The 27,896-nt window shown below is 43.3% G+C and overlaps 1 protein-coding gene and 1 long non-coding RNA gene across 3 annotated transcripts, besides 3 other annotated features; one reads left to right on the top strand and one right to left on the bottom strand.

The window, feature by feature from the left end:
• Positions 1–1,937: 1,937 nt before the first annotated feature.
• Positions 1,938–11,756, bottom strand: LAMP5-AS1 (LAMP5 antisense RNA 1). Its single transcript, NR_109957.1, has 5 exons — positions 11,522–11,756; positions 5,638–5,923; positions 3,683–4,017; positions 2,968–3,095; positions 1,938–2,881 (listed from the first exon to the last, which is right to left on the bottom strand). It is a non-coding gene; the product is annotated as an LAMP5 antisense RNA 1 (long non-coding RNA).
• Positions 7,915–7,964: an enhancer, noted in NCBI's record as "active region_17537". NCBI's record gives its function as "activates an Ori minimal core promoter by ATAC-STARR-seq in GM12878 lymphoblastoid cells {active_cell/tissue: GM12878}" and the evidence as "EXISTENCE:reporter gene assay evidence [ECO:0000049][PMID:35858748]".
• Positions 11,348–27,282, top strand: LAMP5 (lysosomal associated membrane protein family member 5). 2 transcript variants are annotated; one of them, NM_012261.4, is made up of 6 exons: positions 11,348–11,674; positions 12,211–12,383; positions 12,758–12,889; positions 13,014–13,119; positions 14,798–14,986; positions 26,400–27,282. In NM_012261.4, exons 1-6 carry the CDS (start codon positions 11,611–11,613, stop codon positions 26,576–26,578), a joined length of 843 nt encoding a protein of 280 aa, NP_036393.1. In that variant the 5' UTR covers positions 11,348–11,610; the 3' UTR covers positions 26,579–27,282. The 2 variants fall into 2 exon arrangements, with proteins under 2 accessions (NP_036393.1, NP_001186826.1); NM_001199897.2 differs by lacking the exon at positions 12,758–12,889.
• Positions 12,283–12,867: an enhancer, noted in NCBI's record as "H3K4me1 hESC enhancer chr20:9496172-9496756 (GRCh37/hg19 assembly coordinates)". NCBI's record gives its function as "activates a minimal SCP1, AML or CMV promoter by ChIP-STARR-seq in naive H9 embryonic stem cells {active_cell/tissue: H9 hESC(naive)}" and the evidence as "EXISTENCE:reporter gene assay evidence [ECO:0000049][PMID:30033119]".
• Positions 15,411–16,117: an enhancer, noted in NCBI's record as "OCT4-NANOG hESC enhancer chr20:9499300-9500006 (GRCh37/hg19 assembly coordinates)". NCBI's record gives its function as "activates a minimal SCP1, AML or CMV promoter by ChIP-STARR-seq in naive H9 embryonic stem cells {active_cell/tissue: H9 hESC(naive)}" and the evidence as "EXISTENCE:reporter gene assay evidence [ECO:0000049][PMID:30033119]".
• Positions 27,283–27,896: the final 614 nt, after the last annotated feature.

The raw sequence follows: 27,896 nt of genomic DNA on the forward strand, positions 1-27,896 counted from the left end.
CCATGCTGGTACCCTGAGCTTGGACTTCCAGCCTCCAGAACAGAACGATGAGAAAGAAATCTCTGTTGTTTAAGCCACCCAGTCTATGACATTTTGTTATGGCAACCCAAGCAGACTAGTACACCATAGAAAGGCAAAATTATTTGGACATTCTGGTTTACGCACGCTTCTGGAAATTTGCAAGGGAACAGTGAAACTCAATTCTACTTTTTGTTCTAGTTGAAGTAATTGTTGAGACCTGCACTGTCTAATACAGAAGCCTCCAGACACTTGTGGCACTTGAGCATTTGAAATATAGCTATTCCATATTAGAAACACCAGACTTCAAAGACTTAATAAAAAATGTAAAATAGCTCATGTAAACTAAAAGTCCTAAGCCCTCCTCCACCAACTGAATGGACACCCTCTTGGCTAAGACCGACTGCAGAGAAACCTTAAAAACTAAGTTCCCGGCCACGTTGGGACAAGAGGTCAGATACGCCTTCTTATTTCCCTTCCCTTTTGTGGTTTAGGCACAATAACTGACCATAATTAATGTTAAAATAGAGGTCATAAGACTGACAGAATGGACTCTTTGTGGTAAGAAAACACCAAATTACAAACAGGACTTCCCATGCCAGGCAAGAGTTATCATGCACCACCCCCCGCCCCCCCAACACACTTAAAGAATAAACCAGGTTCTAATTGCCAAGGTTTTTTCCTTTTCTCCTTGCAGCTAAACAAGCACTGGCCTCAAGAGAAGCAATATTAAAACAATTTGCAGCTCACCACCAGCCGCTGACTAACGGCGCCCCCCTGTTCCAACAGCCATAACTACAGCTTTGATTGGACAAGAGGCTGATTTCAGTTAACTTCCTCCTGATGAGAAAACCACAGCCATGGACTGATTCTGGCCGGTTTACAGAGGCTGTGTACTTGGTTGCCTTTGTGTCCTAAAAAGGAGGTGTAGGGCCTAATTGTAATACATGTAAATGTTAATTCTCCACCCCAAAGCACACATGGTTATATGTTACCTGCATGTTTGTTCAGTACACATGCCTCAGGACCACCTTCATGAGTATTTGAAGCTCTTCGTATAACCTGTTGACTATGTATGTTTGGCCAACCTGTTCAACTAAAATTTCTGTCTAATTCCTCTCTCCCTCAAAGTGCCTATTTCTGGTCTTTGCTGGAAGCTACACTTCCCAGCTGGTAGGATGGCCACTTGGCAGGCTGTAAACTTTTACAAGAAATAAAGTCTCCTTTTCGAAATGTATAGATCTTGTGATTTTTCAGTTAACCCTCACTGCATATTTGTTCTTGATTAGATGTTGAGAAAAATATTTTGGATATATTTGGTTAATTAAAATACATTATTAAAATTAATTTTACCTGTTTCTTTTTTTACTTTTTAAAATGTACCTACAGGATATTTTAAATTATGTTAAATTATGTGTGTGTTTCGCATTGCATTTCTAAGGGACAGTGTTGCCATTGAGATTCCTGAGATGCTCTGAGTCAACCATTCATTTCACACTCTGGTTCTCAAGGTGTCGTCCCCTCTGACTTGAAGCATCAGTACTACTTAGGAACTTGTTAGATACACAAATACACCACCACACCTCAAACCTACAGAATCAGCATCTCTGGGTGGGATCAGAGCTGAGCACACCCTTCATACTAGTGCTTCTGAAACTGATGGACCTGGAATGGGATTACTGGACTTGGCAAAATTAACCTTTGCAAGAGGGTCAGGTTTACTGAATTGCAAAGCAATTTAAAATATAGGATTTTGTGCCAAAAATGTTCAAAACTAGACAAGAATATTGAAGCAAAGCGAGCTGTTGTGCTCTGGAAGAGGGCTGCTTGGCTTGGCGAGGGTTTTGGGTCGTAGGGTGAGATAAATAAGTAATCAAGCCCTTCTACCATTTAGTTGAAAATGAGAGATTGGGGGATTTGACCTCATAAACTAATATTTATTGAATTTGATTTTAAACATTTGATTCTAAATCCTCACAAACACCCTTTGTGGTGGGCACTATTATCAACTTCATTTTGTGGGTAAGGAAACCGAGGCACAGCGAAGCTGATTAGCCATACTTGGCTAATTAAGTATGGTTCAAGGCCATACTTGCTGGAGTCAGAATGACTCAGGCTACAGAATGTCAGGCTACAGAATGAATCAGGCTACAGAGAGCAGTGGGCTTAACACTGCACATATTGTCTTGCCCAGGCTAGACAGATTAGCTAATCTAACTAATCTGTAAAGTGGGTATTTCTACACTAGTCATTCCTGGCTGCCATTAAAATCACCTGGAGACACCCAAAACACACACTCCTGCCTAGGCTCCAGCAAACCAGAGATTCTGATTCCATTGGTCTGAATGCACTCAGGAGTGCATAAGAGCCCCCCAGGACCTCCAAAACAGCTCCCACTTGACAGGTGATGAAGAGGAGGCTGGGAGGAACAGGGTTGAACAGGTTGTCAATGGCTAAACTCAGGTTCTGTAAATTGGGCAAGGGCTTCTCCAACCAGACTGTACACAGTCCTTGGATATCTCTCAGATGCACGTTCCGATGCAGTAGGGCTGGATGAGGCCTGCAATCCTGCAGTCTCCAAGGGACAGTGATGCTACTGGTCTCAGAACCACACTTTGGATTTTGGACGGCACTTTGTCAGATGTCCCGAACCATGTGGTGTTTCCTGGCCAGCTAGAGAGCTGGGGCTTTCCTGACAGACTGGTCTGGGAGAACGTATTCTGCTGAGGTGCACCCAGATTTGGGATTCTTTAAGATCCCAGGTTTGAGATCCGTTCAGTGATCTCCAAGACCCAGCTAAGGAGGTAGGCCTTGGAGCGGAGTTGGAGTTCCACTTCTTGAGATGGAGGAAGATTCTAGGAAGCTGAAAGGAAAAAACTCATGGTTACTGCCCAGAGGCAGGAATCGCCGCAACACCACCCTTCTCCAGTTCGTCTGCTCTCCTCTCACCCAAGCTCAGCCTCTGGCTTCCCACTCTTCTCATTCCCTCTGACTCCAGCCTGAGCCATGGGGTGGGGTGTCAGGACAGGGACAAGCAGCCTCTCCCTCCCAGGGGATGCACGACTTTCTTCGTCTTGCTGGAGGGTCAGACAGAAGGAATTCAAGCATTTTGATGCGCATTTCTCCCTCACCCTTCTACAACCCTCCCTCACCACTGCCCCGACTTTCAATACCAGTTCTGCCTCCTTCCTCCAAACTGGTTGGCGTGGCACGGGGTTGGCCCTTGGCTTCGCAGTGCCCGGAGGTTCGGAGCGAGCACTGGACCAGAGCCCAAGTTCCCAAGTTCCCATTCCACGGGGAGATGCGGACTTTAGGTGGACCCGGAATGGAAGGAGGGTTTTTGCTGCCCGCATGCCCCCAGGGCTCTTTCCGGGAAATAGAAGGGCGAGTCCTTTGCTTCCGCAGCGTCCGGTGGGAAAAGATGCCACGTGGCGCGGTGCGGGCGGACTCAGAGGCCCCAGGCGCCCCCGGGAACTGCCACTTACTCAGGGCCCGCGGTCCCTGGCGAAAACGGGCGTGGCGCCAGTGCTCAGACCGTGAAGTGGAAAAACGGATCATAACCTCGCGTTAAGGGGAAATTCAGGTTTTTTTCTCTGAGAAATGTATCCTTCCCTAACCAAAATCCAGCACCTAGGGCCACCCATCCCTCGGTCCCTGAGCCCACCCTCTCCCTGCAGGCACAGCTATCCCAGGTTCCGGCCCATCAAGTTGGGAAATGAGACGATCCATCAGTGCCAGGCTCCCGGGAGCTGCAGCTGGCTCCAAGTGCGTGGCCGGAGGCGTCCCCCATCTGCACGAGTCCCCAGAGTCACCCGGGAATAACTGCGCCGCCGCCGCCTCCGCCGCCTGGGCTCCCGACCTCCGCGCGACCCGCGTTAGCTCGCGTTGCCTGCTGTGGCTTTGCTGCTCTGGGCTACAAGGCCGGGCCGGCTTGGGTTGAGACTCCCGAGGCTGCAGGCGAGGCGGTGGGTACAAACTTCCGTAGATCCTGCTGTTTCTCTGAAGAAGAAGAAAAACATTGGCCCCGGAGAATTAGATAATCCTGGGGAAGAAATAGATTTGGGCCTGGGGCCTGCGGGGGTAGGTGCCCACGCGGGGTTGCTAGGCCAGGGGACACCTCTGGTGGACAGCAGAGGCCTGGGGGATCTCACAAGCAGGGGCAAGGCTGGGGCACCCCCAAATCTGCTTTTAAGTTGAAACAAACCTAATGGTCACCATGGAGAAAAAAATAACCGAATGGGATATTTTCACACCCTTATTTTGAGGGACTGTTGAAAAAATCCCCAGGGCTTTTATCAGGTGTGGGGCCTCCCAGAGTTCGTATATGGCCCTCACTGGACCAGGGGAGAGAGGCCGGGGACAGGCCACCCTTGAGCGCAGCCAGACACGGGATCTTACATCCCGCCTGCGGCGTCGGGCAGCGCACCTGGCGGGCTGGACCGGGACAGGGGGCGGTGCGCACCGGGGCTCCCAAGCAGCCTTAGCGGTGGAGACCTTCCGAGGGGAGGCGAGCCTGCGGTTTGTCTCCCGTTAAGGTGGAAGACTGGATTTTTCCTCCAGTTCCGATCTAGGGTGAAGTCCCTTCTCCCGCGCCCTCATGCCCAGATTGGGGAATGAGGGGACAGCAGAAAAAAAGCCCTGACATAGCCCAGAGCCTCCAGCAGCTTTGGGCGCCCTGAGGCGTTGGAGGTAGGAGGAGGTGTGAATTTCATTCCCGCCTCTCTGGGCATGGAGCTTAGCTTAGCGAATAGGGACCCTACAGAGGGAACACCAATGAATGAGTCCACCTTCTCTCCTGGTCCTAGGGCCCGAACCCACTTGTCTCCAGGGCTGGCGCCAGCCCCGCGCACAAACACCGCTTCCTCTGGGTAACCGCCTGGACTGCCTGCGCGCCCTCGGAGCCCGCCTGGTTGGCAGTCTCTGCTTCGATCTCCTCTAAGCAGAATCTATTTTCTGTTTGGAAAATCTCTTACAGGTCCTGGGGTTGTCCCAGGACCAAACTGCAGCGAGGCCGCGCGCCCCTGGCCCTGGAACGCAGCATCCTCCCCATTTTACCTGGAGGCTAGATCGTTGGGGCTCTTCGGGGGAATTTCCCTGGGCACGGATACTGTGCTGGCGGTTTAGAAAAGAAAAAGAAAAAGAAGCGAAGCCTCTGTAACCTGGTCTCCTCCCTCTCCTCGGTTTAATACCCTGCCTCCCCTACTAGTCTCCAGGCTTTTCTCTGGACAGGGGAGGGACCCGAGAAGCCCGCGGCCAGTGATCGCCAGGGTCTGTCTCGTCGCCCATCCTCCCCGCCCCAGAGCAAGGTCGGCAGAGGCTTCCCGGGGCATAAGAACTTCAAAGAAAGTCTCAGAGGAGCCACGCTACCAGGAACTTTCGTCGCCCTTTAAAATTGTCAGATAGACAAGTAAAAACAGTAACTAACTAAGGGAACAATGGACTCTTGTGACATGTGTAACTCTTCCAGGTACCCCAACACTAAAGACCCCGTGGTTCCTGTCGCCATGGCCTGAACGTACTCAACTCCAGCCCCGGGGCTGACCTCTCTCCCTGAGCTTTGGAGCGGGTTTGGACCTAGCCGTTGCAAGTAGGCATGACTTTTATCACCCATCGCTATACCCAGAGCAGCTGCTCGAATGTGCCAAGGAGCCCAACTCGGGTGCAAAGCGCCGACGTCTTTCCCAGGTTGAGGACATCGCGAGCCAGAGGTGCAGGCAGCGAGGCGCCCAACAGTAGAATGCATCTTCCTTCCCGCGGGCAGAAGCCGTCAAGTCTGGAGTCCGCAGCGGGCGCGCGGGCCAGCCCAGGGATACTGAGCCATGAGCAACCAGGCCCACCTACCGCCGCGCCATCCAAAGGTAACACCACAGACCACGGGCCATGTGTCCTGAGCAGCGCACACTTCCTGCACGTTCAGATATTACATGTTAATAATGAAATTCCGAGCACCCCACCCCCCATCAGCCAAAGGATATTGCTCAGATTACTTCCCTACTCAGATCACTCAGACTTGGGGCATGTAGTTCTGGAGGTATCCTTTAGGAAAGCTATGTCGAAGACCAGAGAATTGAAGCCACTCCTTCCACATGTTGTCGCTACTAGAGTAATAAAGTCATAACTAACATATCGCTTCTTATACTCCCATCCCATTTGCCTTTCCAATACACTCTCCCTTTCCCACTACCTTGTTACTAAAACATCTTGCTATGCTTTTACAACGAGAGAGAGAGAAAAAACAAAGTCCTAAACTTACAACATCAGAGCACCCCAGGGAATTCCAGGACTCCAGCTACAATGCAAGCAAAGCTTCAATAGGAGACAGTGGGCTCTGGGCTCCACTCTCACCCTCCTTCCCAAAGGCCATTAATATAAATTTTCCTTAGTTCCAAACACATCTTCAAGTTAATATGCAGATAACTTCAGATAGACAATTAAAAGAGTAATTTGCCGGTCACAGTGGCTTACACCTGTAATCCCAGCACTTTGGGAGGCCGAGGCAGGCGGATCACGAGGTCAGGAGTTCGAGACCAGCCTGGCCAAAATAGTGAAACCCTGTCTCTACTAAAAATACAAAAAATTAGCCGGGCATGGTGGCAAATGCCTGTAGTTCCAGCTACTCAGGAGGCTGAGGCAGGAGAATAGCTTGAATCCAGGAGGCAGATGTTGCAGTGAGCGAAGATTGCACCGCTGCACTCTAGCCTGGGCGACAGAGTGAGACTCTCAAAAAAAAACAAAACAAAACAAAACAAAAAAAAAACAGAGAGAGAGAGAGAGTAGTAACCAAGGGAACAATGGACTCCTGTGCCATCTCAGAGATTTTGAGGGTACTGCATTATCACAGAATTCAGGTAGCAAAATATGTTAAATGAGACACAGCTAGTCTAACCTTAGGCCTATTGTGACAGATGTCATTTCTTGGAGAACAGACTCATTAAAGATTTTTTAAAATCCTCAAATGAGTTTTAATTCAACCTTACAGAAAGGTGCCCTGCCCAGAAGTTAACAAGGTTTTCCTCCCTCCCGAGATAGCAGAGTGAGTTGTGTATCACTGACCAAAAATGTAAGACTGACCAGAACAGTTAACTAATCACGGATTCAAAAGACAAAAATGATTTATTTGCTACTGAAATTTTGAGGAATGATTACCTGGCCCCTCACCATTTACTTATTTAGGGTTTGCTATAAGGATGCAGTTCTCTATATTGCCCCATGCTGAAGGCAATTCTTCTAAATGAACTCATAAATGGTATTTTTTTCAGGACTTAGTGTGAACATAGCCAATAAAAAGGCCGTTATTCTGGTGGTTTGTTTCCTCCACTGGTTACCGTTATTGCAGAAATAACCATTGTTTCATTAGAGTAGATGCAGGAGACACCAAAGAAGCACTAGGATGAGGAAAATTACACCAAGGGCATGCAGACTGAGTGCATTGGAGCCTAAACTCAATTTTCTGATTCTTTCCAAATATTCTAGGGCTTAGCAATGTATGTGCGAAATATTCTTGTGCATACATTGCTCATGCGCACACTTATTTTTGTACTCTTTGCTCTGGATCTAAACCCTTGTGGGATAGAAACTGAAAAATAATTCTTGTGCATACATTTATTTTTCAGTTTCTGTCCCACAAGAGTTTAGATCCTAGAAAGGGTTGCGAAGGTCTTTGAAGGCAATGACTAAATGAATTAATTGTTCTATGATAAGCTGAACACAAGAAAAGTTTTGGTGAGTAGAAAGTCTGGCTTAACAGCTGCATGCATCTTGTTTGTTTAAATTATTTCTGCTTCTGTTATTCGGGTGTGCGTCCGTTGTCTGTGTGTGGGTTGCAGAGGGATGGCTTGGTGGCTGTGGGAACAACAGAGCAAGGAGTACATTTTTACACTTTACTGTAAAGTGAACTGAAACCTCAATAAACCAAATTTCAGCTGCAACAAAGCCCAGCCTTTTCCTTTTGAAGCTATAAATACGCTTTTCTTATTAGTATTGTTCACTAATTTTCATAGTTTTGTTTCTTGATTCTACAAATACAAGTCAATTGCTTGCACAACCAAGTATGAAAAGATGCCCCTAACAACTTAAAAAGTTTAATTTTATTTAGAATAAATTTTGCATAGGCCATTCTTTTGCATATGCCATATGTGGGTAAATTATCAAATACGGAAATGAAATAGGGGTTCTATAGTACATAAGGCATTGTTGATTTACGGCCTAATTTGCTTTTTATTGCAAATGGATAAATATGGATGGATGAAGAGTTACATCTTTGCATTGATTCCCTATTCAATAGATATTTCTTCCATCCGTATCCTTCCTTCCACCCTACATCAGTTTGTCAACTTCTTTCAAGACTCACCTTCTCCAAGAGACCTTTTTTCATCAATTTCAACCACTCTCCCACCTGGGATGCCTGTCTTACTTTTTTTTCCCCCTGAACATTTATGCAGACACTGTGCTAGGCTAACTGGAATCTTTATGTAAATTCTTCTCATCCAAATTGAAAGTTCTATGCAAGGGCCTCTTCTTGCCCTTTTATAAAACAGCAACCACTCAATGGCATGAGATTCATAAAGGCTAATTCAGTAAGTATCCATATGAATTGAAAAACAGCCTTTGAAGGACCTAGAAGATCTAGAGGAGATCCCAAATCCAGTGTGTTTAGGTCACACTGCACCCTAACAGTTTCTACTGACCACCAGCAGCAATAATAAAAATTGACACAGTTACCACCCACACAGGTGTACATATTTATGTCAATTTCTCCTACCATCTTTTAGACTTGAGAAATGAAAAGTAGAGCAAATTCTGGGGAACATTGTTAATATATTAAAATGCAATTTAATGGCAAATTTTGCTCCTTGATCACTTCTTTGCTTATTTTAGAGAACCAAAGAGTTTTTTTCCAGAATGATTAGAAAGATATTTAATTAATGTAGGTGAAAGTTGTAGGTATAATGACCTAACTCCTATTGCAATGTATCACAGTGGATAAGATGATAAATTAATGGGCATTTGTTAGCCATGTTTAAGATTAAATATTAAAAAAGTCATTAAACTGATTGTGCTTTGAAAATAATCCCCCCAGAAAAAAAGAGTTAAAATTGCTTTCTTTCTTCTTTCAACCCATTTGAGTACTCTAGGGTACACTCTCCAGTGTCAACAAAGAGATCATTTATATCAGGTATAATTTTCAAAGGAACAACCATCTCATTTGTAAATCAACTACTACATTTTAAGATCAATGACCAATGCTACTACTCACCTAATCTTTTATTATTAAGGCAGATAATCATGAATTAATTCAGTTGATCTTTTAACAACTTATATAGTGAAGATATCTGCAATAACATACTGCAAGAGAAATTGTCAAAATCTTTTATAGGTGTCTCTCCTACTTGTGTAATGATAAATATCTTTTGGTTTTCAAAGCATCAAGCATACTGGAAGTAGTAAGTATTCGGTTAATGTTTATGGATCTATTTGTACTTTGTTTATTTATACTCATTGGCCCATTTGGTTTAACTAGCCATCCCCTGAGTTATTTTCCCAATTTTTCAGATGAGAACAAATAAAATCTTCAGAAGGTCACAAAAATAATAAGTAGTGAATCCTGGACTGAAATCTACTCATTTCTGTCCTCATAAAATACTGGAGAGAGAGAGAGAGAGAGAGAATAAATACTTTATTACATGTCTCATTGTTTTCCAGTTTTACAGTACTACAGGAAAATAAGTGTTTAATAATAATTGCTAACATGAAAAAATGTAACACATACAAATGTTATCTCTTCCACTTTCAACTGATGAGAACTGACGTTTTATCAATCTTCTGTATAAAATCATTTCTGTTAAGTTCTGTAAAATTTGCATCAATTCTTCTATATATAATCATCTTTGTAAAGTTCTTGAGAAATGTTTGGATGAAATACTGAACTACAAACATAAAAGTCAAGATGTCAAAATATAATGTCAATTTTAATATTACTTTATACTTTGAATTGCTAGTGATCTAATGATTGATATAGGAATATGTTTGAAAGCCAAAAACATTATATAGATACTTTGTGGCAGATATGTCAGAATGTGATTATACTTAAAACAGCATTCTATAAATTTGAAGAATGTGAATTAATGATAGAGATTTCAGATTTCAGATTATTATTTGATATTGAATATAGATTTTTATGGAAGTCAAAATATGGAGTAAAAATATTATATAAGGAGAAATGAAGATAATCTCACAGAGTTAAAGCATGTGATTTTTGTATTTTAATTCTAACTGACCATGTGACATTTGGGAAGGTCATTTAATTTATTTGAGCCTCAGTTTTGGGGTATGTAAAACCACAGTAACTCATATCTTTCCTTGCCTACCCTCTAAGATTGGGGAGAATCAAATTAGATAATGCAGGTGAAATACTTTGCAATTTTCCCTTTAATATGACATTGTTTTATAACATTATATTACTGATGCAACATTTATTTGCATTATGAAATATCTTCTAAGGAATAAAATATTTGGACATCACTACAATTGATGAGGACTGCATGTGTATTTTTGAAAGCTGTATTCTGATTTACAGAGCAAAAATAAAAAATAAGCAAGCTACCAAATATGTAAATACAGGAATTAGCCCAGTAGTATTTGTTCTTCTGTTCCACTACAGGCTTTAGAGTAATATCAGTGTGTGTTTTTCTTACATAACTATGTGACATTACTTAGGGCATAATTCTAAAATTTCTGTCCTAGGAGACACTAGATAACTCTCAAAAACTTCTGATTTGCTTGCATCCCTTTTTGGCAGAGTGGTCACAGTATAATGCGGGAGGGTAGGTGACCCCAGAGTTCAGAGTCCTCATGCACCCGGGAGCAAAATTCACAGGAAAATAAGCCCACATGGAGCTACTGCATTGTCTGATGGCCTCGTTCGAGGAGGCGTCAATTTAACTTTAAACCCATGAGCTCATTGAGAGCAGGGGAGAGAAGGGGATGTCTCCAAATTCAGGAAACTGTTGCCATAGCATTTTCCCTTCTCTATTCCTGCATAGCCCTCCTCCCCCGAATCAGCAACAATTTTTGCTCCACCGTTTTCTTTCGGGAACCAGATGCGTTTTCAGAAGACAGTACTCCAGTGATAAGGTATCTACACCACTTAATAACTGTACCTGGTAAGGAGATTTAATAAGGCTGAGGGTGGTATTAAGTTTCTCAGAACAGACTCATCTTTGCGGATGCAGTTGCAGAACAGGAAACAGACCCAGGGAGAAGTTTAGTCCCCCCAGATCTCATTGGCCCTCCGCACAAGCCAAGCCACAGCCACTCCTGCCACACAATCGGATTGCTTTCAGCACTCGCAGCCGTGGACCGCCGTGCGGTCCTTTCCTCCGCAGTGAGCCGATTTGCTCTGCCAGCAGCTGTCGGTGCCGCGCTCGACACCGAGTCCTAGCTAGGCGCTCACAGAATACGCGCTCCCTCCCTCCCCCTTCTCTGTCCCCCGCCTCTCGCTCACCCCGGCCCACTCCAGCGGCGACTTTGAGGGATTCCCTCTCTGGCGGCCTCTGCAGCAGCACAGCCGGCCTCATTCGGGGCACTGCGAGTATGGATCTCCAAGGAAGAGGGGTCCCCAGCATCGACAGACTTCGAGTTCTCCTGATGTTGTTCCGTGAGTAGCGATTTGGCGACTGGGAGAGAGGACGGGCACTCTTTGCAGAGAACAGAGCCGGCAAAGTAAAGTCAATTAGCTTGAGATAAAAAATATGGCCCTTAATGTTTTGCGGTGTTTTTTCTTTTTTTCTTTTAGGGGAGGAGGGAGGGCCTTCCTCGCCGGTGGCAGGGAATTCCCCTGAGAGCCATACACCTCTGTGGCATATTCCAGACAGAGCCTAGACAGGCCAGCTTCGTGAGGTCAGAGCATTGGCAAGAAATATTTACTTTAAAATCCCAAGATGTAGAAAACAGCCAGCTATATTACAAACAAAGTCAGGATTTTTAATTTTTTTAACTGTATTTTCATTATAAATTAACAGCGAAGGAATGAGGCTTGTTAGACCCGGGTTAGAGAAACGGCTCGTAGAGCGCACAGCTGCTGGCAGAGAACTTTGTCACTCCAAAGCCTGCAGAGCACTGTCTCCCCACCCTAGCGCCCGAGACGCGTGGGCTGAGCCCTGAACTGATGGAATTGTTTTGTTTGTTCCGCAGATACAATGGCTCAAATCATGGCAGAACAAGAAGTGGAAAATCTCTCAGGCCTTTCCACTAACCCTGAAAAAGATATATTTGTGGTGCGGGAAAATGGGACGACGTGTCTCATGGCAGAGTTTGCAGCCAAATTTATTGTACCTTATGATGTGTGGGCCAGCAACTACGTAGATGTAAGGAATCTTTCCCCCCCCTCAGCTTGCTCCTAGGGCTCCAGGGCGAAGGGCACCCTTCCTCAAGGCTCTTCGAAGACCTGGGTTGCCCGCCTTCTTTCCCACACCCCGGCAGGCTGCTCCCGAATGCTGCATGGGGATTCCAGCTTGTAATGCCTTCTGTTCCCCTGCCTGCTTTGAAAGTAAACCCCCTTCTCTCCGCTTCCCTATCGGGGCTGCACGTAGAGCATCTAACCGCATGTTCCCGGAACCTGGGATGCGCGCGCGCAAAGGAGCGCCCAAGCGTGCAACCCAGAGTTTGGACGCGCCGCCCTTTACAGCCCCCGCCCCGGGGCCGGGCGAGCTGAGGGGGCGCGGGGCGTCTGTGTTCCCAGCTGATCACAGAACAGGCCGATATCGCATTGACCCGGGGAGCTGAGGTGAAGGGCCGCTGTGGCCACAGCCAGTCGGAGCTGCAAGTGTTCTGGGTGGATCGCGCATATGCACTCAAAATGCTCTTTGTAAAGGTAACTCCGAGCCCAGCGGGCAGAGGGGCCGCAGGCTCCGCGTGGGTGTGGGAAGTGGCGGCCCCTAGGTTTAAGAACCCAGACGCTGCGGGGACGATTGAAGCGCACCTCCCCGGCTCAACAGGAAAGCCACAACATGTCCAAGGGACCTGAGGCGACTTGGAGGCTGAGCAAAGTGCAGTTTGTCTACGACTCCTCGGAGAAAACCCACTTCAAAGACGCAGTCAGTGGTGAGTGGAGGCTGGCATGGCTGGGGAGGGAGCCTGGGAACTCGCAGAACAGGCTTGGAGAGAGAATTCCTCAAGGTTTTGGAAACCGTCCCACGCTTTGAGGTCCCAGGCCAAGTCTTCCCTCGGCTTGCTCTTTAGGGCGGAAGAGGCGGGAGCGCCCATGAGTCTTCTGGGTCTCAGGCCTTGTAGATCCGCCAGGAACCGCAGGCGTGGGGACCCAAACGTCACCCGTGGCCTGATCCTAGATAAGAAGTCCCTTGAAGGCCTGTCGTTCCCTGGTGCTTCAAAACGACCTCTTATGATTTGGCCTTTGAAGGACCACGGAGAAGGGCAAAGCTGCATTTTAATTTTCTTCCGCATCCTGGTTTTGTTTCTTATGCGCTAAAACTGCAAGGGGGCAGTGCGACTTTCCTTTTCAGTCAGGATGTGATGGCCTTCAGTGTCTTTTTGCGCATGGCAGCATGGCTCGCACGGGATATTCAGTCATCGACTGCAGCTACCTGACAGTGGATTCTGCACCATGTATAATTTACTAGCGTTTCTGGCCCATCCCTCCGACAACTCAGCCAGATCCTCCTCGGCAAAACGAGCGTTCATCCCCCAAATAACAATATTCCTATCTGCAGACACCGTCAAAGACCACATTTAAATTTATTTTATTCTTTATAAGTTGTCTATTTCACTCATAATGAGGCCCTTCATCACCCAGGCACCTGAGTTGGGAAAGGATTTTTATTGAATACATAAAAATACATGTGTCATCTTTCCCTTTTCACCCCTTTTTGTTATCACAGTAAAAGGAGGATTTTTTCTTTTTCATCAAAGTTTAGATGCAAGATGTCCCCCAGTTAAATTAGACCAAAAAGGAAAAAGGAAAAATCAAACTTAGGTCAGAAAAAGAGCAATGGGAGGCAGACCTTCAGAGGGGATGTATGTGTGTAAGGACAAGCATCCAGAGGACCAGCAATCTGTCCGGCTTTGTTGAGGAAGATGTTTTATTCTTTGCCAGGCCCGTGTGAAATGTGGAAAACCAAGTCACTGTTCCTTCTGTGTCTTTGGAATCTCCATTATTAGGGATTTTTTTTTTCTTTTTTGAAGTGCGGTCTCACTCTGTCCACCAGGGTGGAGGGCAGTGGCACCACCATAGATCACCACAGCCTGGAGTAAGCTACTGGGCTCAAGAGATTCTCCCACCCCAGTTTCCCCAGTAGCTGGGACTACAGGCATGTGTCACCATGCCAGACTAATTTTGTAAATGTATGTGTGTGTGTGTGTATTTGTAGAGACAGAGTCTCACTATGTTGCTCAGGCTGGTCTAGAAATCTTGGGCTCAAACGATCCTCCCACCTTGACCTCTGAAAGTTTTGGGATTACAGGCAGGATCCACCATGCCCAGCCTAGGTTTTATACAGTAACAAGGGTTGGGTTTTTAAGTATCATTCTCCTCTTCAAAAAAGGAGTTCCAAATTAATATTGAAAGAGCCCTGGCTCTCAAGATAATGGGTGTGTTTGTCCTTCATCACCACTTGATGCCATTTGTAGAGCCCTAGCCCTGGCAAGGGAACAGAGAGGACAGGAGGGGTGTGGTGTCTGGAACTGAGAGGCAATAGCCAGCTCTCTGGCACATTAGGTTAGGAACAATGAGGGTTCTAACTATTGCTCTGGGCTCTTGCTGTAGCTGGGAAGCACACAGCCAACTCGCACCACCTCTCTGCCTTGGTCACCCCCGCTGGGAAGTCCTATGAGTGTCAAGCTCAACAAACCATTTCACTGGCCTCTAGTGATCCGCAGAAGACGGTCACCATGATCCTGTCTGCGGTCCACATCCAACCTTTTGACATTATCTCAGATTTTGTCTTCAGTGAAGGTAAGTTGTTGGGGGATGGAGGGGAAGAAGACCTAGTTTATTTCAGGAAGGATGAGAGAGGGACCTACCAGGGCCCCAGGATGTTACCACTTGGATTTCCTCTAGGTTGAAATGACACTGCCTGCCTCTTTAATAATTTTCAAAGACTAAAAAAGCAGTAAGCTGAATGTATGAACTTATCTCAGTAGTTCTTTCTTTCTCCCTCCCAGCCTCCTCCCCGTTTACCTTCACTTTAGTCCTTTCTTCTCAGTCTCCCTTTGTTTCCTCCTTCTTCTTTTCTTTACCTTCTTCCCTCCCTTCTTATATTTCATCTTTCCCTCTCTCCCCATCTTCTTTCCTTTGCCAAAAGATGAACCTTCATAGGGAGAAAGATTTAAAAAGTCACTTTGGAAAAAACTGTAATTTTGATGCAAACTTCCCAAGGAGAAAGCAGCTAAAGTATTTAAGACGTTAGTTAATCTAGAGAGCTACAGATGGGGGAAAGGGCCTTTGCCTTTCTGGGCCCGTTTCTTCTTGTTCTCTCGGATACTTCTAGTTGAAGATTCTGCTGCTGTGAGTCCGAGTTTCTGTGCATCCAGAAGGCAGAGGGGGTGGGTGCGTATGCACAGATCATGGACTCATCAAGTCTTTCCACCAAGCATCTTCGTGAGGAGGATATCCTTAAGCTCCAGGGAGGGAAGGGTACCTGAAGGCTGAGCCGTTTAAGGCCAGCTGCTTCTGCTGAGTGTGGAGCAAGGCTGTCTCTCAGTCTGTTTAGCCTCTGAAAGGGGACCCAGCTGTGCTGTGGCAGGTTCAGGTCAAACACATTCTTTTCATCTCAGCACCCCTGCAGAGGTAGGGCACAAGGGGAGTCAAAACCTCTGCAATTTGTTCAAGTCAAGCAACAATTCACGTTGGGCAATTGTGGGATAAATGAATTCATATCATTTATTCTCTCTCCCTCACAAAGGAGGTTATTAAATTTTATATTCTGTTTATTCTACATGGAAAAAAAATCAGAAAAAATTTTGATTGCTTTGTTTATGCCTTTCTTTGGGTTGGAGACCCCCAGGTGAATACAACAATGCCAATGTTCAGGATATTAGAGAATCTCCACCTTTGTCATCTATGATCATTTTCCAAGGCATCTAGCTTTCATAAAATGCAGCTTCCACTCAACCTATTCCAGAATAGAATGCACCACCTTCCACCTTGATTATTGAGAAGGCATTTGAGAAGTCCTAAGATAAATTGTCTTTAAGAAAAGACAGGTGGAAGGATAGGCTATCCCATGTTAATGTATTTTCTACAAAATTGAAGCTACTAAACTGTGTCGAGACCTTAACAGTTTTTAAAAATCTTTTTGTTTATGGAAGCATTTACAAAATGTAACAGTCAGTGTCTCTCTTAAACTGAAAATATTAAGCATAATCAAGTATAATTTGACTTCTTATGATTATTGATGACAAGGAATTTATTATGAAAATAATTGGACTATGTAATGTCAGTTCCTAGTCCCCAGGACCCTGCCATAAATGCTTTTGAGTTTATATGGGTACTCTTAATAGTTTATGACTTTCTAGTTTTTGCTGATTAGCTGTTACTAGGCGCTTCTTTACTTCTTGTTACCACTGGTGCTATAATTGCTGCTTCTTCTAGCTCCTTACCATTCTGTGTTATTTTTAAGTCGTTGTTTATAGTTGCCTATGGCCTGAGAAATCAAACCTCATAGATTTTTAGAATGGTGTATAAAGTAAGAATAAATAAGTACTGAATAAGGAGCAGAGCTACTTTCCTAAAAATCAGTACAATTCATTGCATGGAGTAAATGGTGTCTTTTGTTTTAAAACCAATTTTGATCCACTTAAAGGTCCTAGATAGGGAAGGCTGCTGGGTAGACATAGAGAGTTTGTAACTACATATAACTTCCTAAATGCAAATAGAGAAGTCACAATCAAATGGCACTTGTCTCACCCCAGGCTTTTATGGCTAATAATTAGGATGTTCTCTCCTGTATGGTGTCCCCAGGCTTACGCCTTGACATTCCTGGGAGGTGGCAAGCCTCATTCAGAATCACTCACTGGATCAGTGTGCCTTTGTGTGGCTGCGTTTTTTTGTTCCTGGCTCCTCCCTTCTGTTCCTCTCAGCACCTGCCCCGACTTTGTTTTGTAAGAGATCATTATTTTCAATTTGGTGGAATTTTAAAGATTCCTTTTGGGTGCCTTTTCGGGATCTATCACTGGGCCTTTATCCCCAGAATACAAGCTCAGGGGCCTTTCGGTGTGTGCATGTGAGTGGAGTATGCTTGCATGGAGAAGGAATATCACGTCATATATCTGCACACCTACTGCAGGGGTGTGTCCGTGTGTTCGTGTGTGTGTGTGTGTGTGTGTGTGTGTTTGTGTGTTCATGTGTTTGGACCGTGGCCATTGTCAAGCACAGCATAATGGTTTCCTGTGAAGAGTCTATTCCCTGTGTAAGGGGGTCATACCTGGCACTCTTCACACCTGTCTACTGAATAGGCCTTATGAGAAAATCAAGGTAGTGTCCACGAAGTCGGTAAGTGGACACTCACAAGGGCTGAGAGCAGCCCAAATGGAGGTTGACATCTTTATCACATGAGTCCCTTTAGTGCATTGTACTTGACTACTACACTGACCCCCAAACAAAACTCTCTTAGCCCAGCAATGAGCTCATGAAACTTCAGCTTCAATGTGCAATGACTGTGGTGATATTGTTAGCACGCAGAGTTGGTTCACTTAGGTCTGGGAGTGGGCCCCAAGAAGCTCCATTGCTAGCAAGGTCTCAGGTGACACTGCTGGCCCATGGAGCACTATAGAGAGTTTGAAGGATTAAAGGCACAATAAGCTTCATTGGGTGACAGTTGGAAAGGGATTTGTGAGAAGGGAAGCCCCTCACAGCAGGAGACTGTGCAGAGGGAAGCTTATGGGACCACCATTCAGAAAAGGAAGAGGACAAGGGAATGCCCAAAGCAGAGGGGCTTTGGAGAGGGATTTATGTGTCCAGGTGACATCTGCTCAGCAGCACAGCAAGGAGTCCATGGGTCCCAGAGCTTCTAGAGGCAGCAGTGCCTTGGAGCCTTAGAACTCCAAGGCCCTGTCTTATCAATGGGTAACAGCTGTTGCATGAGGTTTCAAGGAGTATGCAAAGCAGGCAGGCTCCATACAGCTGCAAATTTTCTTGTTTAAGCTATTTTACAAATAATTGGATGTGTAAAGATTTGGGAGTTTGGTGCCAACAGGCTTTTGAGCTAACAGTCTCAGCCTGCAGTGAAGAAATAAACCACCTAGAGGCCAATACACAGAGGCCATCTTTGGCTCATTTATTTACCAAATACACTTTGTACAGCAACTATCACCTCTGCAATAGAAGCTATCACCCCTGCAATCTGAAACACTCTGTTTCTCATTTGGGGCTGATTACCTTGTTCTTCCACAATTAATTTCTGAGGGCCTCATTCAAAGTCCTGCAATTCCCTTGGAGAGCCCCATGTGATTTCTGGCTGAGATGGGAATGGGGATGTGTCGCTGGGAGGGAACAAACCAGTCTGAGTATTCTAATACCTTGAGTAAAAGGAAACTTTTATGTATTATGTCAGAAAAAATATAATAGAATAGGAAGGCTACCTCTATTTCCCTTTATTCAGGATTCAGGTCTATCAGGCATTTAAAAGACATCACATATAGATTGGTCCCTTTTTAATTCTCTCTCAAGGGGCAAACATAACAAAACAAAACAAAACAAAAAGAAACAAAACAGAACTGCAGAAAGATACTGAGATCCCCATTTACAGTGGAGCAGCTGAGACACAGGGAGGTGAAGCGAATTGGTGAAGGCTTCCCTCCTAGAACCTGTCTTTGGGTATCAGAGGTTTTGTCCTTAGTATCTCAGGGCCACAGCTGCTCCTGCTGAGTAGCTGTAATCAACATGTGAGTGTGAGAGGCATTTACAGAGTTTGTTGGGTACCCCCAATTCATGAGCTTTTTATTATTGTTCCTAGCATCATGATTGGGAGACGCCACTTAATCTGTATTTTACCCAGATCTGCGGGAACTTTAGTGTTAGTGTAAATGAACATGGCTGACATTTCTCTATATACCAGCCCCCCAGTAGAGCGTCCTGTGGCAAGCTGTCATGTCACAAATGCATGAAGGGTTTGCTGATCCAGAGAGTTTTGTAGACCTGTGACTTACCTGGCACTTCCCAGTCAAGAAACATGCCACCCTACATAGTTGGTCCTCAAGGCCTCCTGAGTAAGCAGCCAACGGTAAATAATCTGTTATGAACACAGCTGAGAACTGTGTTGAGGACTCCAAGATGGAGCCCCAGCCTTCGGCCATGGAGTTAGCCAGTCATAGAATTCTGTGCTTCGGATACTGTCCTCTGGAGAGAGCATAAGATATGCCTCAGAATTATCTCACCTGAGGGTGAGCAAACCAGTGTTTACCCACCAAATGCCATCTATCACTGATGGTCGCTGTGGAAGCATTAACTCCCTGGGACTTCTGACCTACTTTGTAGTCAAAACCTGTTGGGATATATGGGACTGGTGAATGCCAAAAGAAGAATGGACAGTGTCTGTGTCCACTACACCTAGGTACTGGGATATAAGAACATTTTCTGCCACACTGAAACTTTCAGTCTAGTGGGATAGGGTGTATACAATGCATGTCATGTTCCTGGCATACAGTGGCATCAAACAATACTTGCACTTATAATTTTTTTCTTCTCTAATACTTAAATCTTTTTTTTTTTTTTTTTTTTTTGAGATGGGAGTCAAGGCTGGCCTTGAACTCCTGGGCATAAGCAATCTTCCCACTTCAGCCTCCCAAGTAGCTGGGTGGTGATGCCACTGTGCCTAGCAAATGCTTACATCTTGATGAGGGTATCAGCTTGTCTGCAGTCAAAGGTCTCCAAAGCCCACTCATCTTAACAGCTTCTCAGTATACAAAATATATTTTGCTGATGTTATAGGAGTCCAGGGCCAGCACAGGGAACATATGGAAAGAGCGTCAAACCCTTTCTCTATCTTGCCCTGCCAAACAACAGGAGAAGCACAGCCAGCAGAAAGCTTGCCCACCTCTTCAAACAGTTTCAGTCCATGGTGCTAGGAGAGCCTGAGGAAGCAGAGAGCTTGCCTCTGCTTCCCATTGCCTATCCCAATGCCATTCATTGGGGGTGCAATGAAGCGCTCTTGTAGTTTATCTCAGGGAGTCAATATAATTTTTAAATGCTGTCATGAAATAAAACACATATCTAGCAACCAGCACCTAAGATAAATTATGATTTTAGTGGGTACACTTGGGTTAAGAGTTGAGGAGACTTTTGTTGGCAACTGGCAGCTGGCAACAGATTATGCATTTATTGTTTGTTTTGTCTTCATCTGGTTCTTTCCAATGATGAGGCTGGTTTTTGTCTCTTCCAGCCACAAGCCACTTACCCTGTTGTGTGTACTCTAGAGCCCTGAGTCCACCAAGAGCAAAGGCATGAGGGATCCTAAGTCCTGTGGAGGTGGATAGGGAGTCAGGGGTTCAGGGAGGTCTGAAGCCAGATGTAGTCCGGGCTAAGCCAACAGATGCTCTTCTCCCTGGCGGAAGTCAGAGGCCTTCCTTGTTTTGTAATCTGTGGGTTGCATAATCAGTTTACAATACAAGATTTTTACCCTGGGGTATATATAGTTTATAGATAGAATTCAGAGGAAAAAATTTATATCTTTATTTTCACTAACTTCTGATTAATATTTAGCATTTTCTTTGTTTATAAATGAAGGTGACAGACCACAGTAATATTAGCAGTACCCGTGACTGTCACCAATAGAAATCATAGGTATTTTCATCTCACTTTAGTTTGTGCAGATCTTGCAAAGTAACATTTATGCTTCTCACTGCTTTATAATCATGGCCAACATATATGTGTTCCAATAAGGAAATACATATATTGCTGTATCTGAAATTCTTTTAAAAATATTTGATGGCTGAATTTCACTTTCCCTTGTAATTGTATGTATTTTATTTTTTATTCATTCATAAACATTATTCCGAGAAGGGGTCCTTAGTTTTATTATACTTGCACAAAAAAGATTACAACCTTTTCTTAGTAGGTCATGAGCAGCATTGTTTTAAATGAAACAGAATAGAATAGAGCATAAATTATTAGATGCATAAAGCAAGGATAACTATTGTTTGTCAAACTTCTGCTTTAGTTCTCTGCATGTACATATGCTCTAAGCTGCCATGTAAAATATTGTTTTTTTTTTTTTCCCGTGGGTCATAGGCAGAGATTAAAAGCACTGTCTTAAGCCTGAAAGAGAAAAGCGTGCCCTGCTTTTATGGGTTCATAATCCCTCATCTAAAACCCAGATCGAACTAAAAAAAAAAAAAAAAAAAAACAAACAAAAAAAACCTTGGTGCTAGATGGTTTTCAGAATTCAGAATATTTTAGACTTTAGGAAGACTATACAGTGCACAATTTATATATTACATAAGACCATGGAAGAGTCAGGGCAGCCCCATGCAATCAAACATATTAATATATCTGTTTCCTGCGGTGAAACATGTGAAACGTCATACTAAGTAGGATGACTGAAAACTACAAGCAGCCTCACATTAGACAAAGTCAGGTTTTGCTGCCAAACAAGTGATTACAAAGTACTTTTGGTTTTCAGAGCTTTGTGGATTTTGAAACAGTGGATGAGAGAGTGGGCTCAGGAATTCCTTTTTATTTGACCACTTACTGATTAGGGGTTGGTAAGTGCAGGATTTGGTAGTAGCTATGATACTTTTTGACATCTTCATAGTTGATATCCTCTTTATATTGCCCTTTCCTGTGGTGTGATTAATTCTATTTTTTTTTCCTAAAGCAACAAAAGATAATCGTCTGAGAAATAAATCATGATAGCATTCTAAGCATATTGTCTTTCTCTTTCTTTACCATACTATATCATCTTTTCTCTAATTTTCTTAAAGAATGGGATGTGAGACATTCTTTTTTATTATCAATTTAGAAATAATACTTTTGGTACTTGAGCTCCAAAGACTCCCATATTTAAAAGAAGTACACAGAAGACTTAAATGTATAAGACTTCTATCTTTATAGTGAACAATGACAGAAAAGCTACTCTGTGCCAGGCACTGTGCTTGGCCTTCTGTAGTATGACGTTGGATACTCACAGCAACCCTGTAAATTAGGTGTCATATCGATTTTACAGGAAACTGAAGCTTAGTAGATTAAGAGATTCACCCAGGGTTGGACAGTGGAAGATCTGGGATCTGAGCCCACTATCATCTCTTTCTCTCACAATGTTCCATTACATCTACTCCCTCTTGATGTGATGATCTGGATCTATGGAGACCACTAAAAGTTCATGTATATCTCTATTTCTACAGCTATATCTAACTATATATCTGTTTATTCATTGCTATGGTATAAAACAAGAGAAAAGAGAAGACATGACTTTACAAATTGGTCAAGGTCGTTTGGTGCCCCATCCCCAGATTCTTCCCAATCCAACTCCAACCTCCCTTCCTCCTGAAGCTTTGTTAACTCCCCACCCTCCCTGTCCTGAATACTTGTAGTTGGGGCCACACAGAACACCACCTGTCCATGTTCTCCAGTGATTTTGCTACATAAGCTCTTGCTCCCAGACACAGCTCTTTCTCCATTGCCTCTCCCATTCTGCCTAGGAAGGTAGATGTTGTATTTCGGGCTTCTGGCTGATTGTTTGCCTGGGTAACTAGAGTGTAAGCAGGAAGAAGTGAGCTAAAACCATGGTCTACAGTCTGGGTAACTATGAAATTGCTCTGCAGGGGAGAGAGTTAAGAAGGGAAGAGACAGAGGCTAGAGCCACAAGGGCAACCTTGTAAAGATGCCTGGGGCCTACTCAAGTAGCAGCCTGGAAAGGTGCATAGATGAGAGTCTGAAGGTCCTGAGGGCTTTGCTACTTTTTGTGAGATAATTTATTTTTTATTTTTACTGTTTAACACAGACTTAGCCTTATTACTAAATAATTTGAAATCAATGTATTTCTTCTTAATATTTTAAAATTTTTAAAAATTCTTTGTTTCTATTCAATGTATTGTATTAAGTAAGAAAAAATTGTATGAGGTTGCCACTAGCGCCTGCAAACCAATCAAACCCTGCAATCTGTGTTAACATTACATGGGCAACAGAGTGTTATCATGAGGAAAATAAATAACCTTTGTTGTTAACAAAATTCCTACCCCACGTGATCCATTTCTATTCATTGTTCTCTTTAAAGAGGCAATATGGTATCATACTGGCGAAGAAGACCGCCATGCTGGCATCATGAAGTTCTAGGCCTGCCACTCTTTCTGATACACTGTGTCATCTCAGGTCCTGTCCCTGGAGCAATGGATGTATTGATCCAGGCTGACCTTCAAAGTGTTGGGACTCATTAGAATGGAATCAAATAGTGGGGGGAAAAGTTTCCTGAAAATTCTTTTTCAAACTTTTGGTTGTAATAAGAAGAAAGGCTCAGTTTAGTCCTAATAAGTCCTTAACATTTCTCTACCATTTGCCAAACTATCTTTTAAAAAAGCTATTTCTAGTAGAATTTCTTTTTCTATTATATATATGTGTATTATATAGATACATATACATATGTGTGTGTGTGTATATATATATATATATATATATATATATATATATATATATACACACACATACAAAACAGTTGTATTTAGGTACAATTGTATGCATTTAAGCATGTAATTTAGTAAATATCAACTTATGAATACACCTGTGAAGCCATCACCACAATCAAGAAATCAACATATCCATCATGCTGGAAAACTTCCTTGTTCCCCTTTGTAATAAGTATCCAGCTCATTGAATTTTCAGATGCTAGATGAACCTCTGCAACCAGCATGCAGATCAGGAAACCGAACTGACAAATCCTCCTTTCTGCTCCACCTTGGGATTCTGTGGCCTTTTAATGCCAGTAGTTTAGGTCTGTTAAGTGCTGCCCCAACTATAGTGTTAAGTTGTTTGAGTTCAGATCAGGCTTCATTTACTCCTGGGCAAACCACTTATTATCGTTATGACTTGATTACCTTATGTGTAAAATGAGTATAATAATATTGTGTACCTCAGAGGGTTGTTAACCAGATAATCTTTGTGCTTAGAACTGATTGTTAATTTAGGGACTAAGAATGTCAAGTATACAGCTATCAAAGGCTGTATATGTGAAAGTAAGTCTCCACTAATTGTTATTATTAGAGAGGAAAGCTCATCCCTTTTCATTTCTGCTGATCTCAGGCAAGGTGAGAGAAGGGACTATGTCAATAGGGATTCTGGAGGAGACTGGAATACAGTAGGTACTTAATAAATGTTTACTTGGTCGTCTGGACTTAAAAAACTTGGTGTTTATGAAGAGACATGTAAAGCTTGTTTATTTTTCACTTGTGGCTCCTGATTTTGGTTAAAAGGCCACCAGTTACCCACAAGAAGCAAATGAGCCTGTTCTAGTTTCTAGGAATATAATTCTGGTTAGCCTGACAAACTGTTTGACCACTAGAAGTTCTCCCAAGAATAGTTTTTTGTTGATGGTGGTTCTATGTAAAAAAATGGAGACTCAGCACTATGAAGCTATCTTGAATTTTAGGAGGCTGAAAAATAAATCAACACTGAGGTGCTGCTAACATTTGTGTTCTTGATCTAGATGCTGGTTACATGAGATGTTCATTTGTAAAAATTCATCAAGCTCTACACTTACTTAAAAATTATAGCATAATTTACATATATTACATGCACCCTTAATGTTTATCCCAGCATTATTCACAATAGCAAAGTTACAGAATCAACCTAAGTGTCCATCAACAGATGTATGGATAAAGAAAATGTGGTGCATATACATAATTGAATACTATTTGGCCATTGAAAAGAGTGAGATGGTGTCATTTGCTACAATGTGGATGGCACTGGAACATTGCATTAAGTGAAATAAGCCAGATACAGAAAGACAAATATTGCATGTATTCACTCACATGTAGGAGCTCAATAGATTGACCTCAGAGAGGTAGAGAGATACCAGAGGCTGGGAAGGATATGGGTGTGTGTGTGTGTGTGTGTGTGTGCGTGTGTGTGTTTGTGTTGGGGAGAGTGGACTAAAGAGAGGTTGGTTAATGAGTACAAACATATAGTTAGATAAGAATAAGTTCTAATATTCAATAGCAGAGTAGGGTGACTATAGTTAACAACCATGTGTTGTACATTTCAAAATAGCCAGAAGTGAGGACTTGAAACATTGTTTACACATAGAAATGATAAATTCTGGAGGTGATGAATATCTTAAATTCCCTGACTTGATCATTAAAGTGTATGCGCATAACAAAATATCACGTGTCCCATAAATATGTATGAATAGTGTGTATCAATAAAAAATAACAAAGTAATCAACAAATCTAAAATGTATGGTTTAATGCTTTCGTACTTATATTTGCAACCATGTAAACATCTCCTAGATCAAGATCTACAATATTTCCAACACAGGTGAAAGTTCCCTTGTTTTCCTTTCCCCAGATATAAGCACATTCTGACTTCTATCACCACAGAGTTAGTTTTACCTGCTCTTGAACTTCATATAAATGGAATCATACAGTATGTATACACTCCTTGTGTCTGGCAATTTTCTGTCAGCATAATATTTCTGAGATGCACCCATTTTGTTATGTGTAGCCATAGTACATTCCTTTTTATTACTGACTACTGTTCCATTATATGAACATATGCCACAATTTATCCATTCCATTTTGATGGACATTTTGGTTGTTTCCAGTTTTAGGCTATTATGAATAAAGCTGCTATGAACATTTATGTTCAAGTCTTTTCCTGTTGACTATGTTTTCATTTTCCTGGGGTAAATGCCTAAGAATGGGATGCTGGGTATGTTTGTCTTTATTAGAAATTATCGAACAGTTTTGCAGAGTGGTCATAACATTTTTCAACAAGGGTGTTACAAGTTCCTGTCATTCCACATCATCACCAACACTTGGTATTTTCAGTCTTTTTGAAACTTACATATTTTTATATAATGCGTTATGTGTACATATTACTTTAATAAAAAGTTAAAAATGAATCAACAATAAAAACAATGATGATTGTGTCTAATGGTGAAACTCTGAACATTTAAATAAGTTATCTGGATGTTTTGTTGACATCTGCCAGGAATCCAATAATTACATGTTGTCCTAGTTAATTGATGTATTTTTATTACGCATTATGTAGAACGATTAAGTGTTAACCTAGGGGTTGGTTAGGGAAAACTATTTCTGAAAAATAGTCCCAAAGCTTCCTTGAGAAATCTTTTTACCTCCATTTCCCTTTTTGTTTTGTAGAACTTATGATTCAGGATGTTTTGACCAGAGCTCTCTGCTTTTCTTCTTTCCCATTGCAGAGCATAAATGCCCAGTGGATGAGCGGGAGCAACTGGAAGAAACCTTGCCCCTGATTTTGGGGCTCATCTTGGGCCTCGTCATCATGGTAACACTCGCGATTTACCACGTCCACCACAAAATGACTGCCAACCAGGTGCAGATCCCTCGGGACAGATCCCAGTATAAGCACATGGGCTAGAGGCCGTTAGGCAGGCACCCCCTATTCCTGCTCCCCCAACTGGATCAGGTAGAACAACAAAAGCACTTTTCCATCTTGTACACGAGATACACCAACATAGCTACAATCAAACAGGCCTGGGTATCTGAGGCTTGCTTGGCTTGTGTCCATGCTTAAACCCACGGAAGGGGGAGACTCTTTCGGATTTGTAGGGTGAAATGGCAATTATTCTCTCCATGCTGGGGAGGAGGGGAGGAGGGTCTCAGACAGCTTTCGTGCTCATGGTGGCTTGGCTTTGACTCTCCAAAGAGCAATAAATGCCACTTGGAGCTGTATCTGGCCCCAAAGTTTAGGGATTGAAAACATGCTTCTTTGAGGAGGAAACCCCTTTAGGTTCAGAAGAATATGGGGTGCTTTGCTCCCTTGGACACAGCTGGCTTATCCTATACAGTTGTCAATGCACACAGAATACAACCTCATGCTCCCTGCAGCAAGACCCCTGAAAGTGATTCATGCTTCTGGCTGGCATTCTGCATGTTTAGTGATTGTCTTGGGAATGTTTCACTGCTACCCGCATCCAGCGACTGCAGCACCAGAAAACGACTAATGTAACTATGCAGAGTTGTTTGGACTTCTTCCTGTGCCAGGTCCAAGTCGGGGGACCTGAAGAATCAATCTGTGTGAGTCTGTTTTTCAAAATGAAATAAAACACACTATTCTCTGGCCTTTGGCTGCTTTCTTGAAACAAGAAAACAAAGCTAAAATGGTGTCTTTGGCGTCCAGAAGAGAAAGAGGAAAAGATGAAGACGGATTTTGCATGTTTGCAAGAGGAAAAGTAAAGACAGGGCAGGAAACCAATGAGGGGGAAGTTGGCTTTTCTAGGTGAAAAAAACATGGATTTTTTTGGCAAATATAAATAGTTTTAATAATGGCACCTCTTGACCAGTTGGCCTAATATTGCTTCTGATGCTTCTTGGTCTTGAGTTTGGCATTTCACTTTGGATTAAAAAGGTGGGCTGGACGTAGTAGCCTAAGTTGACTTCTATTTGAAGGAAAATTCCTAGAGAAATGCACATAGTTTGAATTCATTCACTTTCTAAATAATCATTTTTTTCCCAGAATGTCCGAGTGGGAGTAGGGAAAAATCTTTTGTCTGGTTTTAGAGTGGAACTCTCTCCCTCCACATATACAGTCTCCACCATATGAGAGGCAGCTCATGAACTCCTCTCCCTAAGTCTTCAAACTGCTCACAATAGGGTATCCTCAGAAGTTCATTATCCCAGCAATCTCACCAAGTATCATCCAGTTTCTGTCCTATTTCCCATTTGTTTGCTCTTCT

This window comes from Homo sapiens, chromosome 20 (genome assembly GCF_000001405.40).
Source record: "Homo sapiens chromosome 20, GRCh38.p14 Primary Assembly".
Lineage (NCBI taxonomy): Eukaryota > Metazoa > Chordata > Mammalia > Primates > Hominidae > Homo > Homo sapiens.

Excerpts from the sequence above, each read along its gene's own strand:
- LAMP5 (NM_012261.4), top strand. The coding sequence starts at position 11,611 with ATGGATCTCCAAGGAAGAGGGGTCCCCAGCATCGACAGACTTCGAGTT. Across the intron at positions 11,675-12,210 it reads AGTTCTCCTGATGTTGTTCC|ATACAATGGCTCAAATCATG; the intron begins GTGAGTAGCGAT and ends TTTGTTCCGCAG. Across the intron at positions 13,120-14,797 it reads CTTCAAAGACGCAGTCAGTG|CTGGGAAGCACACAGCCAAC; the intron begins GTGAGTGGAGGC and ends CTCTTGCTGTAG.